This window comes from Homo sapiens, chromosome 18, assembly GCF_000001405.40.
Source record: "Homo sapiens chromosome 18, GRCh38.p14 Primary Assembly".
In the NCBI taxonomy this organism is placed as follows: domain Eukaryota; kingdom Metazoa; phylum Chordata; class Mammalia; order Primates; family Hominidae; genus Homo; species Homo sapiens.
In genome coordinates, this window is record NC_000018.10 from 51547913 (window position 1) to 51564984 (window position 17072).

General features: G+C 38.8%; 1 long non-coding RNA gene across 1 annotated transcript in view; it reads left to right on the forward strand.

The window, feature by feature from the left end:
* LINC01630 (long intergenic non-protein coding RNA 1630) overlaps positions 1 to 14557 on the forward strand; it is a 170428-nt gene extending 155871 nt beyond the window's left edge. Inside the window, exons 2-3 of the long non-coding RNA NR_040074.1 lie at positions 12681 to 12974; positions 13269 to 14557. This is a non-coding gene — a long non-coding RNA (long intergenic non-protein coding RNA 1630). The remainder of the gene's footprint in view (positions 1 to 12680; positions 12975 to 13268) is intronic.
* Positions 14558 to 17072: the final 2515 nt, after the last annotated feature.

The window sequence follows — 17072 nt, forward strand, 5'->3', positions numbered from 1 at the left end:
TATCTCATTATGGTCTTAATTTGCATTTCTCTGATGATTAGTGATGTTGAGCATTTTCTTCATGAACCTGTTGGCCATTTGTATGTCTTCTTTTGAGAACTATATATTCAGATCCTTTGCCCATTTTTAAAATTGGGTAATTAGTTTTTTTGCTCTGGAGTTGTTTAGGTTCTTTATGTATTTTGGCTATTAACCTCTTGCCAGGTACATGATTTGCAAATATTTTCTCTCATTCTGTGGATTGTCTCTTCCTTCTGTTAATCGTTTCATTTGCTATGCAGCAGCTTTTTAGTTTGATACTATCCATTTGTCTATTTTATATATATATAAATTTTGTTGCCTGTGTTTTCGGATATCTATATCCATATCTATCTATCTATCTATCTATCTATCTATCTATCTATCTATCTATCTATCTATATCAATTACTGCCCAGGCCAATGTTGTGGAGCATGTTTTCTTCTAGTAGTTTTATAGTCTCAAGTCTTATATTTAAATCTTTAGTCTATTTTGAGTTGATTTGTTCACATCGTATGAGAAAAAGATCTAATTTCACTCTTCTGTATATGGATATCCAGTTCTCCCAACACCATTTATTGAAGAGACTATCTTTTTCCCATTGTATATTCTTGAAACCTATGTCAAAAATCAATTGGCCATAGATGTATGGGTTTATTTCTGGGCTCTCTAAAGGATTAATATATTGGACTACATTAAAATTAAGATCTTTTGCTCACCAAAATACAAATAATGAGAGGCAAACAGCAAACCACGAGATGGGAAAATATGTTTGTAACATATTTTTATTTGTCATGTAACGAATAAAAGGTTTATATCTAGAGTATATTTTAAAACTTCTTCAAATTAATAGTAAAAATACATGTTATCTAATAGAGAAATGGGAAGTGACTTAAATAAGCATATTACAAATAGGATATCTAAATGACCAAGTAATGTATGAAAAGACATATATGCTTATTATTACTCAGGGAAATGAAAATTGGAACTTTGATAAGGTAACACTGTGTACTTATCAGATTGGCTAGAATGAAAAAGTTCAACAATTACAAGTGCTGGAAAGGGTGCTCAAAGACAGAAACTGCCATTTATTGCTGACAAGAGTAAATTGGTATGCTGCTTTTAGAAAACAGTCTTTGCAGTGAGTAGAAGATACCCATACCTATTGACTATACCTATACTCCTTGACATGTGCCCTATAGAAAGTTATGCTTAGGTGTATCAGGATTCATATTCACAAATGTCCATAGCAGCATTGCTCATAATTGTCTATTTCTGGAGTCTCCAAGCTCCATTAATTACATGCCTATCTTTATGCCAATATCACCCTGTTTAATTACAGTAGCTTTATAGTCAGCATGAAATTAAATCCCCCAATTTTATTCTTCTTTTCCAAAATTGTTTTGCCTATTATCAGTCCTTTGACTTTTCATGTAAATTTTATTATATTTTTAATTTTTTTAATTTTTTGTTTTTTTTTTTTTATGACAGAACCTCGCTCTGTCGCCCAGGGTGGAATGCAGTGGTGCCATCTCAGCTCATTGCAGTCTCCGCCTCCCAGATTCAAGCAATTCTTTTGCCTCAGCCTCCAGAGTAGCTGGGATTACAGGTGCCCACCACCACATCCAGCTAATTTTTGTATTTTTAGTAGAGATGAGGTTTCACCATTTTGGACCAGGCTGGTCTTGAACTCCTGACCTCAGGTGATCTGCCCCCCCTTGTCCTCCGAAAGTGCTGGGATTACAGGTGTGAGCCACTGCGCCTGGCCCCTCATGTAAATTTTAAAATCAGCTTGTCAATTTTTTTAAAGTTGTCTACTAAGATTCTGATCGGGACTGCATTGACTGTATAGATCAGTTTGGGGGAGAACTGCCATCTTAACACTATTGATCAATCTATGAGCACAGTGTATTTTTCTTCAGTTTCCTTTTGTGTTGATTTATAGTTTTCAGTGTAGAGGTCTTCTACATTTCTTATTAAATTTATTCTTAAGTATATTATTAAAAATTTTTATTTTCTAATTTCTTATTATTAGAATATAGAAATGTAATGGATATTTGTAAATTGACTGTGTTCTATGACTTTCTTAAATTCAATTGTTAGTTCTTTTTTTGTTTATTCCTCAGAATTTTTTATATACATGATCATATCATATCAGTAAAGAAAGTTTTCATTATTCTTTTCCCTTTATTATGGTTTTATTTATTTCTTTGAGCCCATTAGTTAGATACCTCAGTATAATGTTGAAGAAAAGTGAGGGTGGATGACTGTCCTTCATTCCTGATCTTGGGCTGAAAGCACTGAACCTTTCACCATTGACCTTCACTGAATATGAAGTTGGCTATATAGGTTTTTCACAGATGCCCTTAATTAGATTGAGTTTGTTCCTTCCATTCCAAACTATGAATTTTTGTAATGAAAGGGTATTGAATTTTATAAAATGCTTTTAAATTTTTTAGTATCAATTAAAATGATGATATGCCTTTTCTTCTTTTTCATGTTAATATGGAGAATTACATTGGCTGAGTTTTGAATATTAAACTAAGTCTGCATTCCTGGCATAAACATTACTTAATCATGAATACATTAGGCTTTATATATATTGCTGTATTTCATTCACCAACATTTTGTTAGAATTTTTGTGTCCATGTTTATGAGAAATATTGAATTATAGTTCTTTTTTTTTCTTGTGTTATCTTTGTCTAGTTTTGTATTAGGATAATACTGACCTTATACAATGAGCTGGGAAGTATTTCCTCTTTCTCTGTTTTCTGAAGGACTTTGTGTAGATTTGGGTGTTATTTATTAAATATTTGATAGAAATATTATTAGAGCAATCTTGCCCTAGAGTTTTCTCTGTGAGAAAGTTTTAAATTATGAATTCAATTTTCTTTTTTTGATATAGGGAAATTTAATTTATTGATTTCATCTTGGATCGATTTTCTTAATTCACGTTATTAAAAGAATTTGCCCATTTCATCTACATTGTCAGATCTGTTAGCTTAAACTTGTATAACATATTCCCTTATTATCCTTCTAATATCCATAGTATCTCTAGTCTTATGCCCCTTTTTTCATTCCTTATTCTGATAATTTGTACCTCTATTTTTTGTTTTGCTCAATCTATTGAGGCTTGCCAGTTTGTTGGTCTTTTCAAAGAATCAGATTTTCTTTTCACTTTTCTTTTTTATTGCATGTTCATTTTTTATTTTATTGTTTTCTGCTCTTTGTTATATTTTCTTCTCTCTCCTTACTTTGAGTTTAATTTGCTCTTGTTTTTTCATTTTATAAGGTGAGATCTCAGATCACTGACTCTAGATCTTTCTTATTTTTAACATAGGCATTTAAACACAGTTATTAATTTCCCTTTAGGCATTGATTTAGTTGCAGTCCACAAATTTGATATCAATGATAATTTCATTGTTACTCAGTTCAAAATATTTTCTAATTTCTTTCATGATATCTTCTTTGACCAGAAGATTATTTAGAAGTACGCCATCTAATTATTTGGGTTTTCTCAATTATCTTATTGCTATGGATTTCTAATTTAATTTCTTTGTGATCAGAGCACATACATTGTATTATTTCAATCTTACATTGCTATAAACTTCCCCGTTGGTACTGATTTTGTTGTATTCCGTGTATTTTCATATGTTCCATTTCCATTTCCATTTGTTTCAAGACATTTTAGAATTTTCTTCTTAATTTCTTCATTGACCCATTGATTATTCAGGAGCATATTGTTTAATTTCCATGTGTTTTTGTAATTTTCAAAGTTCCTGTTATTGATTTCTAGTTTTATTTCACTGTGCCCAAAAAAGATGCTCGATATGATTTTGATCTTTCTGAATTTGTTGAGACTTGTTTTGTGTCCTATAGTGGAGAATGTCCACGGGCTGATGAGAAGAATGTGTGTTCTGCAGCAGATGAGTGAAAGGTTGTAAATATCACTTAGGTCTATCTAGTCTAATGTATAGTTTAACTTCAATGTGTTTGTTGATTTTCTGTCTGGATGATCTGTCAATTACTGAGAGTAGGGTGGTGAGGTCCCCTACTATTATTGTATTGCGGTCTATTTTCCCTTTAGATCCATTGATGTTTGCTTTACATATTTGGGTGCTCCAGTGTTGTGTGCATATATATTTACATTTGTTATATCCTCTCACTGAACTGACCCCTTTATCATTATATAGTGACCATTTTGTCTCTTTTTATGATCTTTAACTTGTAGTCTACAATTGACCCTTGAACAACATGGGTTTGAACTGTGTGGGTTTACTTGTATGCAGATTTTTTTCAGTAAATATATTGGAAATTTTTTTGGAGATTTGTGACAATTTGATAAAACTCACAGACGAAGCACATAGCCTAGAAATATTGAAAAAAATTTTAAAAAGTTAGATACATCTTGAGTGCATAAAATATATGTAGATGCTAGTCTATGTGTTAATTGACTGTTTATGTAATTGATAAGGCTTTTGGTTAACAGTAGGCTATTAGTAGTTAAGTTTCTTGGGAGCCAAAAGCTATACACAAATTTTCAACTGTGCAGGGGGTTGGCACCCTTAACCTTTGAATTATTCATGGATCAACTGTGTTTTATCTAATATAAAAGTATAGCTACTCCTGCTTTTTAATTGGTTTCTGCTTGCATGGAATATCTTTTTCCATTTCTTCACTTTCAGTCTGTTGTGTCTTTACAGGTAGTGATTTTCTTATGGGAAGCATATAGTTGGGTCCTGTTTTTTTTTTTTTTTTTAATCCACCCAGTTACTCTATGTTTTATTGTTTTAACTGAAGAATTTAGGCTACTCTTACATTCAATGTTAATATTGATAGGCAAGGAGTTATTGATAAGTAACTTATTTTGCTACCTGTTTTCTGGTTGTTTTGTAACTCCTCTTTTTTTCTTCCTTTCTTACCATCTTCCTTTGTGGGTAAGTGATTATTTTCTGGTAGTATGTTTTAATTCATTGCTTTTATTTTTAGTGTATCTACTACAGGTTTTGCTTTGTGGTTACCATGATGCTTACAAAAACCATAGATAGAACAAGTTATTTTAAACAGATGATGACTTGTCTCAGGTCACAAAGAAAATAAACCAACATAGGAAAATCTAAAAATAACCTCTACACTTTAACTTCATCCCCTCACATTTTGACTTTTTGTTATCTCAATTTATATCTTTACATATTAACAAGTTGCTTAGTTATTATTTTTTGTAGTTTTGCCATTTAGTCTTCATACTAGAGCTGTGAGTGTCCTACATACCACAATTACAACATTAGAATATTCTGAGTTTGTGTATTTAGTTTTACCAGTGGGTTTTACGCTTTCAGTTTTTTTTTGTTGTTGTATGTTATTGTCCTTTTCTTTCAGATTGAAGAATTCCCTTTAGAATTTCTTATAAGACAGGTCTGATGGTGATGAAGTTTCTCAGCTATTGTTTGTCTGAGAAAGACTTTTAACTTTCTTTTGTGTTTAAAGAATAGTTTTGCTGGGGTATGGAATTCTCAGCTGGCAGTTTTGTTTTTTCTTTCAGCACTTTGAATATGTCATCCCATTTTTGTTTTGTTTGTTTGTTTCTTTGTTTGTTTTGAGACAGAGTCTCACTCTGTCGCCCAGGCTGGAGTGCAGTGGCGCGATCTCGGCTCACTGCAAGCTCTGCCTCCCAGGTTCGCGCCATTCTCCTGCCTCAGCCTCCCGAGTAGCTGGGACTACAGGCGCCCGCCACTGCGCCCGGCTAATTTTTTGTATTTTTAGTAAAGATGGGGTTTCACCATGTTAGCGAGGATAGTCTCGATCTCCTGACCTTGTGATCCGCCCGCCTCGGCCTCCCAAAGTACTGGGATTACTGGCATGAGCCACCGCACCCCGCCGTCATTCCATTCGTTACTGAACCTGTATGGTTTCTGATGAGATGTCTGTAGCCAGATGGATTGGAGCTCCTTTATATGTTATTTGCTTCTTTTCTCATTCTGTTTTTATGTTCCTTTCTTTGTCCTTGAGATCTGAGAGTCTGACTGTTGTATGCCTTGAGGTAGTCTTATTTGGATTGAATCTGTTTGGTGATCTCTGACCTTCCTGTACCTGGATATTTATATTTTTCTCTATGTTTGAAAAGTTTTCTGTTTTGTTTTCTCTGAATAAGCGTTCTACTCCTTACTCTTTCTCAACTCCTTCTTTAACACCAGTGACTCTTAGATTTGCTCTTTTGGAGTTATTTTCTATATCCCGTAGGTGTAGTTTGTTCCTTTTCATTTTCTTTTTTCTTCTCTTACAATGTGTTTTCAAATAACCTGTCTTTAGGCTCACTGATTCTTTCTTCTGCTTGATCCATTCTGCTGTTAATAGCCTTTAATGCATTTTTTTATTTTAGCAAATGTATTTCTCAGTTCCAAGATGCGTTTGATTTTGTAAAAATTATTTCAATCTCTTTGTTAAATTTCTGTGACAAATTTCTGAATTTATTTTCTGTGTTATGTTGAAGTTCACTGAGTTTCCTTAAAACTGATAATTTGGAATTCTTGATCTGAGAGTTCACACATCGCCATCTTGCTGGGTTGATCACTGGCTCCTTTCGTTGTCTGTTTAGGGAGACCATGGTTCCCTGTTTGCTGTTGTTTCTTGTGGACATACATCTATGTCTTTGCACTGAAGGATTAGTTAATTATTTCAGTCTTTGCTGTGTGGCTTGTTTTGGTCTTCTTAGAGTGTGTTTGCTTAGAGGTTCTTTGCGGTTCGCGTGTTGAGCCCCTTTTACCCTACCTCACTGCCTCCTTTTTGGCAGTAGATGGCACCTCCTCAAGCCTAGGTTTGCCTTGATTCTCACAAACATTCAGACTGCTGCCCATCCCGATTGGGCAGGGGCTACCCAGGCTGTGTGGAAAGACTAGGTAGGGTTTCATGTCCAAGGGACCTGTGGACCTTACCACCTATGGTGTGATGCTGCTGAAAAGCTGCACTGATTTGGCATCTCCTTTGGCTGAGATAAACAGGACAATTTCAAAGGCCAGCGTTGCTAGTCCCATCTTCTCTGTTTTTCTCAAGCTGCCCTCAGGGTTTTTCCTCCTTTCAGCCACTCAGAATTTTTTCTGTGGTTTAGGCAGGAAAGGTTTTCCAGTGAAGAAATTCGACATGGTGGAAAAGCTAGCTGTCTGCCTGGATCTCACTTTTTCTAATGTAGAAAGTTTGATTCTGTGGGGACTTTTCTGTGCAGTGAGCGGCAGCTTGGGGAAAGGACATCACAGATGTAGAGTTCATTTCTTGTACCATCTACTCAGAGTTTTTCACCTCTCTATGGCCCTGGGGATCATTTTGGCCTCAGATTTGAGTTCTGAGATACTGCTGCTGATAATCTTGGCTCTAGATATTTGTTTTCAGTTTTCCATGGGGGAGAGTGAAGCCAGATTGCTTCTACTCTGCCATTTTGGTGAAGTCACTCTTCTCAGTCTTTTACATTTATCGAGATTTGTTTTATGGTTAAGGATATTTTTGTGTACTTGTGAAGAATATGTATTATGCCTATTTTTGTGAATGTGTTACGTGCACGTATAAAATATGTATTATGCCTCTGTTGGGTTGAGTGTTCTATAAACATCAATAGAGTCAAGATAGTTGATAGTGTTATTCAGATATCCTGTGTCTTTGTTGATATTTTGTATGATTGTTTTAGCAATTGTTGAGAGAATGGTGTTAAACTTTGCAGCTGTGATTGTAAAAATGTCTACTTCTCTTTTAAATCTGCTAATTTTTTCTTTATATATTGTGAAACTATTAAGTACAAACATAGTTATGATTAAGTCTTCTTAATGAATTGCCACTTTTAACATGAAGAATTATCACTTTTGTGTCTGCTAATATTTTTCTTCTTAAAATTCATTTTATTTGATATTAATATAGTTACTCCATCTTTTTGTACTTACTATTTACATGATTTATCATTTCTTTCCATTTACTTTTAGCCTATCTGTGTCTTCATATTTAAAGTTAGTCTTGTGTATATAGAATATAGTGGGCTCGTATTTTTTAATCTATTCTGACAATTTTTCCCTTTTGAGTGTTTAGCCTATTATTAGTAATTACATTAAATATTGATATAGTTTTATTTGAATCTATTTAATTATTATTTTACTTGCCTCTTTAATCTTTCTGTCTTGACTTTTTCGTTATTAGAAGATATTTTAGAATTCTATTTTAATTTTTTCATGATTTTTACATGTACTCTTTTGCAATAAAAGCATAATTGCTGTAGGATTACAATATATAATCTTATCTTTCTACAGTCCCTTTTCAGCTACAATTGTACCAGTTCACATACAGTATAAAAACTTTGCAACCACGTTGCTGCAGTTCTAGAATTCAGTTCTAAAATTTTTATATGTTTGTTTTGCTGTATTTACATTTTTCTTCTGAGATTCCTATCCTTGCAATTGTTGCAAGCATATTTTATTTTACTCCACTGAGCATGATTACAATAGCTGCTTTAAAATCTTCACTGCTAACTCCAACATCTTAGGATCAGGATAAAATCTCACTTGATTTTTCTTTTCTTTAGAGAATGTGTTCTGTTTTTTTATTTTTTTACTTACAGTGGCATGATCTCGGCTCACTGCAACCTCCGCCTCCCGGGTTCAAGCGATTTTTCTGCCTCAGCCTCCCAAGTAGCTGGGATTAGAGGTAGGTGCATGCCACCATGCCCAGCTAATTTTTGTATTTTTAGTAGAGACAAGGTTTCATCATGTTGGCCAGGCTGGTCTTGAACTCCTGACCTCGTGATCTGCCCACCTCGGCCTCCCAAAATGCTGGGATTACAGTCATGAGCCATTGCGCCCGGCCGTCTTCTGATTTTTAAAGCCCTTACATGTTGGCTAATTTTAGATTATAAGTTTAATATTGTGAATGCAATCTTGTACAGATTCTGGATCCTGTCACTTTTCTTGAATGAGAGTTCTTTTATTTTAGCAAGCAACTCTCTTGGCTGGTCCTGTGTTACAAACTCTGTTTCTCATGCAGTGTAGACTCAATTTAAGATCTTTGTCTTTAGCAGAGCTGCTTTGAGGGGATTTTTTTTTTTCCCCAAATGTATGATTCAGGAGTCAGTCAGCAATGTGTATAGATGGAATTTGGAGACCACATTTCTGGCCCTTTCTCTGTTGGGACTGCTCCCCACCCTCACTCTTTCACAGTCATAATTCTCCAGACTCAATTTTTAGGTTCTCCCGGCCCAAAAGACTATGGTTTTGTGTGTGTTTGTGTTTGTTTTTGTTGTTGTTTTTTGTTGGCATCCTCCCCACCTGGCACACAATGCACTTACTGCAATTAGCAGAAGGTTAAAGGTCATGGGAACAGAAGCCTGTTTCCTGCAGCTCTTCTCCTCCTCCTCTCTGGAAGTTGTTCTTGCTTCTGTCCTCCTCCACCTTCCTGGCCTGCTGCTTCTGGACCACTAAGCACTCTATGTCTTTACTACACCTTGACATTAGGGCCTTTATGTATGTTTGATGGGATAGCAGTTATGCCGAAGTTTTTGGCAGAAGGATAGACACATTAGTTATAGCTTGGTAGAAGGAATAGGCAGAGATGTTCAGAGTGTGAGTTCAGAGTCACCTTCATGGTAGTTCCAGAGTTTCTGGAGAGCAACATAAAGTTACCTCTTTCTTTTTATCCCTCTCTTTTTCTTGTGTTTTAAATTATCCCATTTCTATTGAATTCTATAAATAGACTCGTGTCTCTATGGTTTTGGTAAACCTCTTTCTACTCAGTAACCTATCTATTAACACATTCTTTCTTTTCTTCACTTGAAAATATTGCTTCTTTCATGACCTCCAGATTTTAATCTTCTGTTTTATCTTTAAACTTCTGAAATCAGGCTTTCACGATCACCATTTCAAACTGCTTTTGCTCCAGACTGCCAGAGACTACCTAAAAGCCAAACCCAACAGATACCATTAATTCTTGTCTTATGCAATTTCCCTGCTACACTTTCCAAGGTGGTTTCTTTTCTTTAAGTCTCATTTTCTGACTTTATGACACTAATTCTCAAGTATCCATTGTGAATAACTTTTTCTTCACTTTTCCATTCAATCTGAATATTCCAAATGATTTAATTCTCATGACTTTTCCTTTTTTTTTTTTTTAAATCCCACATATTCTCCCTGGACAATCTCATGTATACCCATGGCTCAATTGCCACCCTATTGGGGGCTTTCATAACTAGTTTTCTAGCTATCGTGGACTGGTCCTTGCCTGCCTGTCATTCTTCACTTTCTACCACACTTTTATATACACCTGCTCTCTCAGCATCTTCAGCTACTGGAGCTACCCTGAACGATCTTGCAATTTCCACTGCCTGTGCCGCTCTTTTACAGGAGTCTGCAACCCCTGGGCCATGGACCAGTACTGGTCTGTGGCCTCTTAGGAACCAGGCCGCACAGCAGTAGGTGGGTGGCAGGTGAGTGAGCATTACTGCCTGAGCTCTGCCTCCTGTCAGATCACTGGTGGCATTAGATTCTCACAGGAGCATGAACCCTATTGTAAACTGCACATGTGAGGGGTCTAGGTTGTGTGCTCCTTATGAGAATGTAATGTCTGATAATTTGTGACTGTCTCCTGTCACCCCGCAGATGGGAACATCTAGTTGCAGGAAAATAAACTCAGGGCTCCCACTGATTCTGCATTATGGTGAGGTGTATATTATTTCATTATCTATTACAACATAATCATAATGGAAATAAAGTGCACAATAAATGTAATGCGCTTGAATCGTCCTGAAACCATCCCACCCTCAAATCTGTGGAAAAATTGTCTTCTGTGAAACTCATTCCTGGTGTCAAAAAGGTTGGGGATTGCTACTCTTTTACATTTAATAGTGCATCTGGATTAAGGGTCTTCCCTTAATCTAAGGATTATCCCCTGTTTTACTCCGTTTAGTGTTGTTACAACAGAATGCCTGAGGCTGGGCAATTTATAAAGAGAAATTTGTTTAGTTCATGATTTTGGTGGCTGCAAGGTTCATGATTGAGCAGCTACTTCTGGTGAGGGCCTCAGGCTGCTTCCATTCATGGTGGAAAGCGGGAAAGCAGGCAAGTGCAAAGAGATCACACGGCACAAGAGGAAGCAAGCGAGAAAAGCGGAGGAAGCCAGCCTCTTTTTAACAGTTCATTCGTGTGGGACCTCATCCATTCCTGTGAGAGAGACAGAACTCACTCACCCCCATGAGAGGGTATTCATCTATTCCTGAGGAATTTGTCCCCATGACCCAAACTCCTCTCTAGGACCAACCTCCAAACACTCATTTAACTTGCATAACAAACCCATAAGTGAAATATTGCTATTATTTCTGAATTATAACAAGAAAATAAAAGCTCAGTCTTCTTAATGGCTAGCCCAGGTTCACAAGGCAGTGGGGAATGGGCCAAGACTCAAATCTATGCTTCAGATGTCAAGGTCCACTTTACTTCCACTAGGTAGCTTGCATCACTTTACAGTGCTGCTAATGGCTCATCATGGGGAGCCAGATAAAAGCATTTAAAGAGGAAACAATGCAGGCTCCAGGTGACTTATACTTTTTATGGAGGGAAGACTGCCACACCAAGCCAATGAAAGTGGCTCAAAATCCTGTGGATGGGCATAATCTTCTTCAAGGAAATTTTCAGATTCTTTTCATCTACTTCAACAGTTTTCAGATGAGATGGTTGCCAGAGAGGGCAGGGCTGCACAGTCTCCATTCCACAGGGGAAGGGAAGCAGCTTTCTTCTCTGGCTTGACCGCTCTCCTCAGTGCTGATGAGACATGCAGACCACATGAAAACCACAGCTTTCTTCAGCTGCCAACATTCGGAAGGCTCAACCAACCACTGTCTCCCCTTGTCATTACTCAGGATAGTCAATATTCATGATCAGAGGCTTATGGGCTGGATGTATAATAAATGCAACATGGGTTATTAGGATTATAAAACCTTAAATTCACTTTTTTCTTCTTAGATTAAAGCAATGCAATAAAGAATAAAAGCTCATAAAAATGCCAACCAGTTACCTTCAGCTCTATGTATGTGAGGCTGCTCTTTGCAAAGTCAGATACAACAGCAACATACAACAGGTTGATTGAGAAAGCCCAGCCACTGGCACAGAGGTTAGATACGCCCCAGTGCTCCTGAACAGGAGATGGAGCTAGACTCCTATGAATAGCCAATTTCATGAAATAATCTTTGAAAGAAGTGAGTAGCACTTTTTATTTTTACAGGGAGACATTGTTCAGTATATAAGAGAAATTAGTCTTAGAAATATTGAGAGTCATGCAAGAAAGATGTTCTTTTTGCTTTCACAGACCTTCAAAGGGGATGCTATTGCCAATCTGAGCATCAAATCAAATGAGTTGCTTGATTAAAGAACAGGGCTACCTTGTGTCTTTTTTTTTTTTTTTTTTTTTATGATTTCTTTCACTTTTCAAAACCCTTTCCATTCTTCAGGACCCATCTTCCTTGCTTCATGGTTTAACACCTCATGCTTCCTTGAATCAGTTAGCCAGGAGAATAAGAAATTTTGGCTGAGTATTGTTAGAACGGAGGCACTGGCCCACCTAGGAAGTTAGCCTCCAAACAATGTGCTCAGCAGTTCCAAATCTAGTGGCTCAAAGCCTCATCTCCCTGGCTTTGTTATCTACAGGTGCTGACCTGCTTGGTGAATGCTGGGATCTCTGGAAGAGGGAGGCAGACATCACACACCAGCTGGCAAGTGGGAGCTGGCATGCAACATGCCCCAATACCACTCCCCTCCTGCCATCCCTATCTCCTAATGGTGCCTCCTTTTGGCCAAACCCACCTTTGGCTGGAGGGCAACAGAGCCCATTGACGTGGTCCCCTTGCATCTGCTACCTGGGGAGAAAAGCAGGATGGACACTGAATCTAGAGAAATGAAGAAACCCATCCAGAAGAATACTGCTTCTTTATGTTTTTGTAGGTGAGTACTGAATTGTCATAGAAAGTAGTTTTTTAATTATGTGTTGTGGTCAAAAAGTTCAAGAAAAACTGAGATAATAGATGGAATTGTTCTGGATTTGCAAGTTGAGGGTTTACCAGAAGCTGTAGCCAGGCAAAGCTGGGATGGGCAGGACTGACTCCAAAGAAAGTCTTTCCTTTACCTCCATTAGACACTGGTTTCTCCTTATGCCGACTGCCTGTGGATCCTACTGCTGTACTTGTTGACCCTTGATATGTTTTGTTTTATGCTAACATTTAAAACTCTTTATTTTAGGTGTACAAATCAGGCCTCCCCATGATATTCTAAACTCCTTGAGGAAAGAAGTGGAGTCCTGGGCTTCTGATGTAGCCTCCACAGTGCTCAGGGGATAGCGACACTGGCACCCTATAGATATTTAATTACATGTGGACTGGAAGAGACCAAACAGCTTCCTGGTATTTCAATCAAACCCGGTGCTCTAGACCTGTGGCTCACTCTGAGCAAACTATAATGAGTTGAACTTGAATCTGATTCCTGCTAAGAAAGGTTTCATTTTAATAGGCAGTAAGGCTATGAGCTAACACCAGAATTCATTCGAGTTACTAGACTCACTGAAACTCCTCACAGGATCCATCTTTCATGTTTTCTAGATTTTGGTATTCTTATCTAAACTGCAGACCCAGAAACCCTATGGACCCTACCTTTCCAATTATATTTCTGGGAAGAGTCATTCTCTGCAGAGCTGAAGCATGTAACAGAAAGTTCTCAACCTGAAAAATATACCTTCTGCGCCCAAGCCCCACTTTCTGCCACTATTTGGTAATCTCAAGTGGGTGAGGTGGTCTCTGAACTTCAGCGCTCTCATGGTCAGAGCCACAAGGGGTTACTGGGAGGCTAAAGGGAAGTGGCAAACGTGGCTGAGATTCAGAAAGAAAAGCAGCAAGTGTAGAGAGGCAAGGACTTTTCCATCTTTTAAATTCCTTAAAGGAAGCCAAAGTTCATTTTCCAGTCTCCTTCAGATGCCTCTCCAATCCTTCACAGCAGCGCACACATACCGCAGAAGGAACTCACCATCACAAAAAGATGACAGAGCACTGGGGGCTGGGGTGCCACTTGTGTTGGCTGAGAGCCTGGATGCATGTGAGGTCAAGCCTGACCTTGGGAAAGCTGCTCTCTGGACATTACTTGCTGTGCCACATACACAGCTTGGGTTTCTGAGGAAACAACACAGGCTCTAAGGAGGAACTGGAACGGGGCCCAGGGTATATCTTTTACAGCCCGTACTTTTGAGGAAAATAGAAGACAAAAGGTTTTTAAAAAACACAAAGTGTATACACGTATACACAAAGTTTACAAGTTTGTGTGTTTTAACATCTACTCTCCTTAAGAACAAGTAGACAGGAAAGATATTACCTGATATGGGTTAAATTGTGTCCCCAAAAACATGTTTTGAAGTGCTAACCTTTGGTACCTGTGGATATGACCTTACTTGGAAATAGGTTTTTGCAGACGTAACCAAGTTAAGATGAGGTCATATTTGATTAGGCTGAACCCTGAATCCAGTATGACTGGGGTCCTTATATAAACAAGAGAGACACACGCAGAGTGAAGATGATGTGTTGAAACACAGGAACAGTGTCATGGGATGCTGGGGACAGCAGTTGGAGTGATGCATCTATGGGCCAAGGGAATGCCAAGGATTGCCAGCCATCACCAGGACAGAAGCATGGGTACTGATGCCCTCACAGAGCCCTTGAAGAGAGTCAACCCTGCTGACACCTTGATTTCAGACTTCCAGCCTCCAGAACTGTGAGAGAATAAATTTCCGTTGTCTTAAGTCACCCAGTTTGTAGCACTTTATTATGGCAGCCCTGGGAAACTAACACACTACCCTTATTTTCATGCTGAGGAATGTAAGATAGTTTTAGGCACCACCTGCTTCTATACAAGTTTTATGATCTCTCCTCCTAATACTGCAGAAATTATGGGTTTTACCATCTTAGTATATAGCATAATATATCCAGCACACGTTATATATTTAGCACTTTATTAGAGTACCCCGGTTTGCTCTTCTGAAAAACTGTGAGGCTGGATTTGATGCTTTCTAAGGCTTTTTTTTCCCTATGTATTCTCTGATCAGAATACCCTGCTCAACGAAGCCGCTGGTAATGAAGCTCATTAAAAATGAAATCACTTAGGTAGGGAGTTGGAGAGTGACTCATTTAAAACATTGCCTCCTGGAAACTGAAATTCATTGAACACAAAAGCTTTTGGAGGGACTCAGATTGGTAGGGACTCTGCAGTCTGACAAAAGGGTCTGGTGACAGGGGGCATCTGATCCCATCTAGGGAGGGTAGGGAGAGGGAGTCCGGAGAGGGATGCATAAACAAGCCTTCTTCAGACATGCTACCTATGCCTCTCCCATGGCTCCTGCATGCTTGGATGTTACGCTTCTTTAAAGAGCAGGTGACAGGTTGCCCCTGGGACGCTCAGAGCCAGGCAAGGTGGGACTTGGCCCTGCTCCCCCTTCTTCTATCTGAAAAGTTGCCCTTAGTCCCACGGGGCCCCTTCCTGTCACACCGACACAGCTTGCTGGTTTTTGTTTTCTTTCACTGTCCTTTTTCTTTTTTCAGAAGTTCCTCACAGGAAGTGTTTGGCAGGCAGCTCAGGCCCCTGCTGAGATGGAGAATCTAGCAAACCTGTCCCGCTGATTGATTAAACACTGAGGAGGCTCCAAGACCCAAGCGTGAAATTCCTTGGCTCTGATTGTGCTAAGGGTAGAGCTCACTAATGAATGGAGTCTGATTACAGCCCAGCCTCTCCAGTGCCTCCTGTTGCCCCAATTTGGGGGATTCTTCTGCTTCGAGTACATCATGGAAAGCAGCACAGAGTTCTCAGCAGGATCTGCGATGTCTGATCCAAGAAAGATTTTTGTTGTTGTCGTCATTGTTGTTTTTTAATCCTGATCATTGCTCTCAAACCCTTCTCTACACAGCTTGGCGTGGGGGGTAGTTGATTTCCAGTGAAACCGGGTGGAAGCAGTGCCACTGCCACCTGTGAGGAGGAAATGGGCAACAGTCGGCTTCATCCGTCCTGAACGCTCAGGCCTGAATGTTCCAAACTGATGCTAAACTGAGACTCTCTGAAGGCCCATGGGGAAGCCTGGCATTGTGTAGCCATTTCTTCCAGCAAGGCTCTCCCCTCACATTCACAGCCTGCCACTTAAAGCTTTGGGAGACAATGTAGTTGACCTGTAGTTCTTCCTGTATGTGGCTCCTGGTCAGTCACTGGGCAAGGAGGAGGCTGCAGGCATTGTGCTATCCCCTTATCTCTCTCTCTGTCTGTCTCTTATCTAGTTCAAATCAGCAAATGGAGCTTGGTCCTTCGTTTGTAAAGTAAGGGGGTGGAAAATTATCCCTAAGTTACCTCCTGGTTTAGAAAAGTCTTAATGCTGTTTTATAATAACTCACCCACCTCTCCTCTTCCATGAGCTCAGAGCGGCCCAGCCCTTGGAATGTGTTTCTGCCACGACAAGGAATACAGGAGGAGTTGAACAGGAAACCTGCCTCCTATCAGATTCACCTGAGGACGTGGTAAGACATGAAGATCTGAATGGATGCTTTATGCTGCTCTTATGGGACTCCCCACCTCTTTCCCTATCTGAATGCAGATACCTGCATTCTCCTAAACTTGGGATGGTTGTCTGGGATTTCCAGCCACAATTCAGCTTTGTCCTTTGGTAATTGCATTTCGTGTACTTGTGTTAGACTTTGTGAGAATTTGTAGAGCTACCCGGCCCACACATACCATACCCTTCGAGGACTCTTAGGCACATAGACCTACTTTCCACCATCAAGTCCTGGGCTCTCCTAGAGGAACTTGGCTGCTTTTAACACTTTCCTGGATCTGGTATCTCATGTGTCCTCCTGACTCCCTTCCCAAGTTCAGAGGTAAATTTTCTTGGGCTTAGGATGGATCTCTGAGTTGGTTGTGGGGCTAGTTTGCCAAACTGACAGATTGGGAAGTCCAGCCACTACGGTGCTGGTCTGGTCCTTCTTGTATTTTCCGGCATGAGAATAGAACTGTCTTAAAAGATTG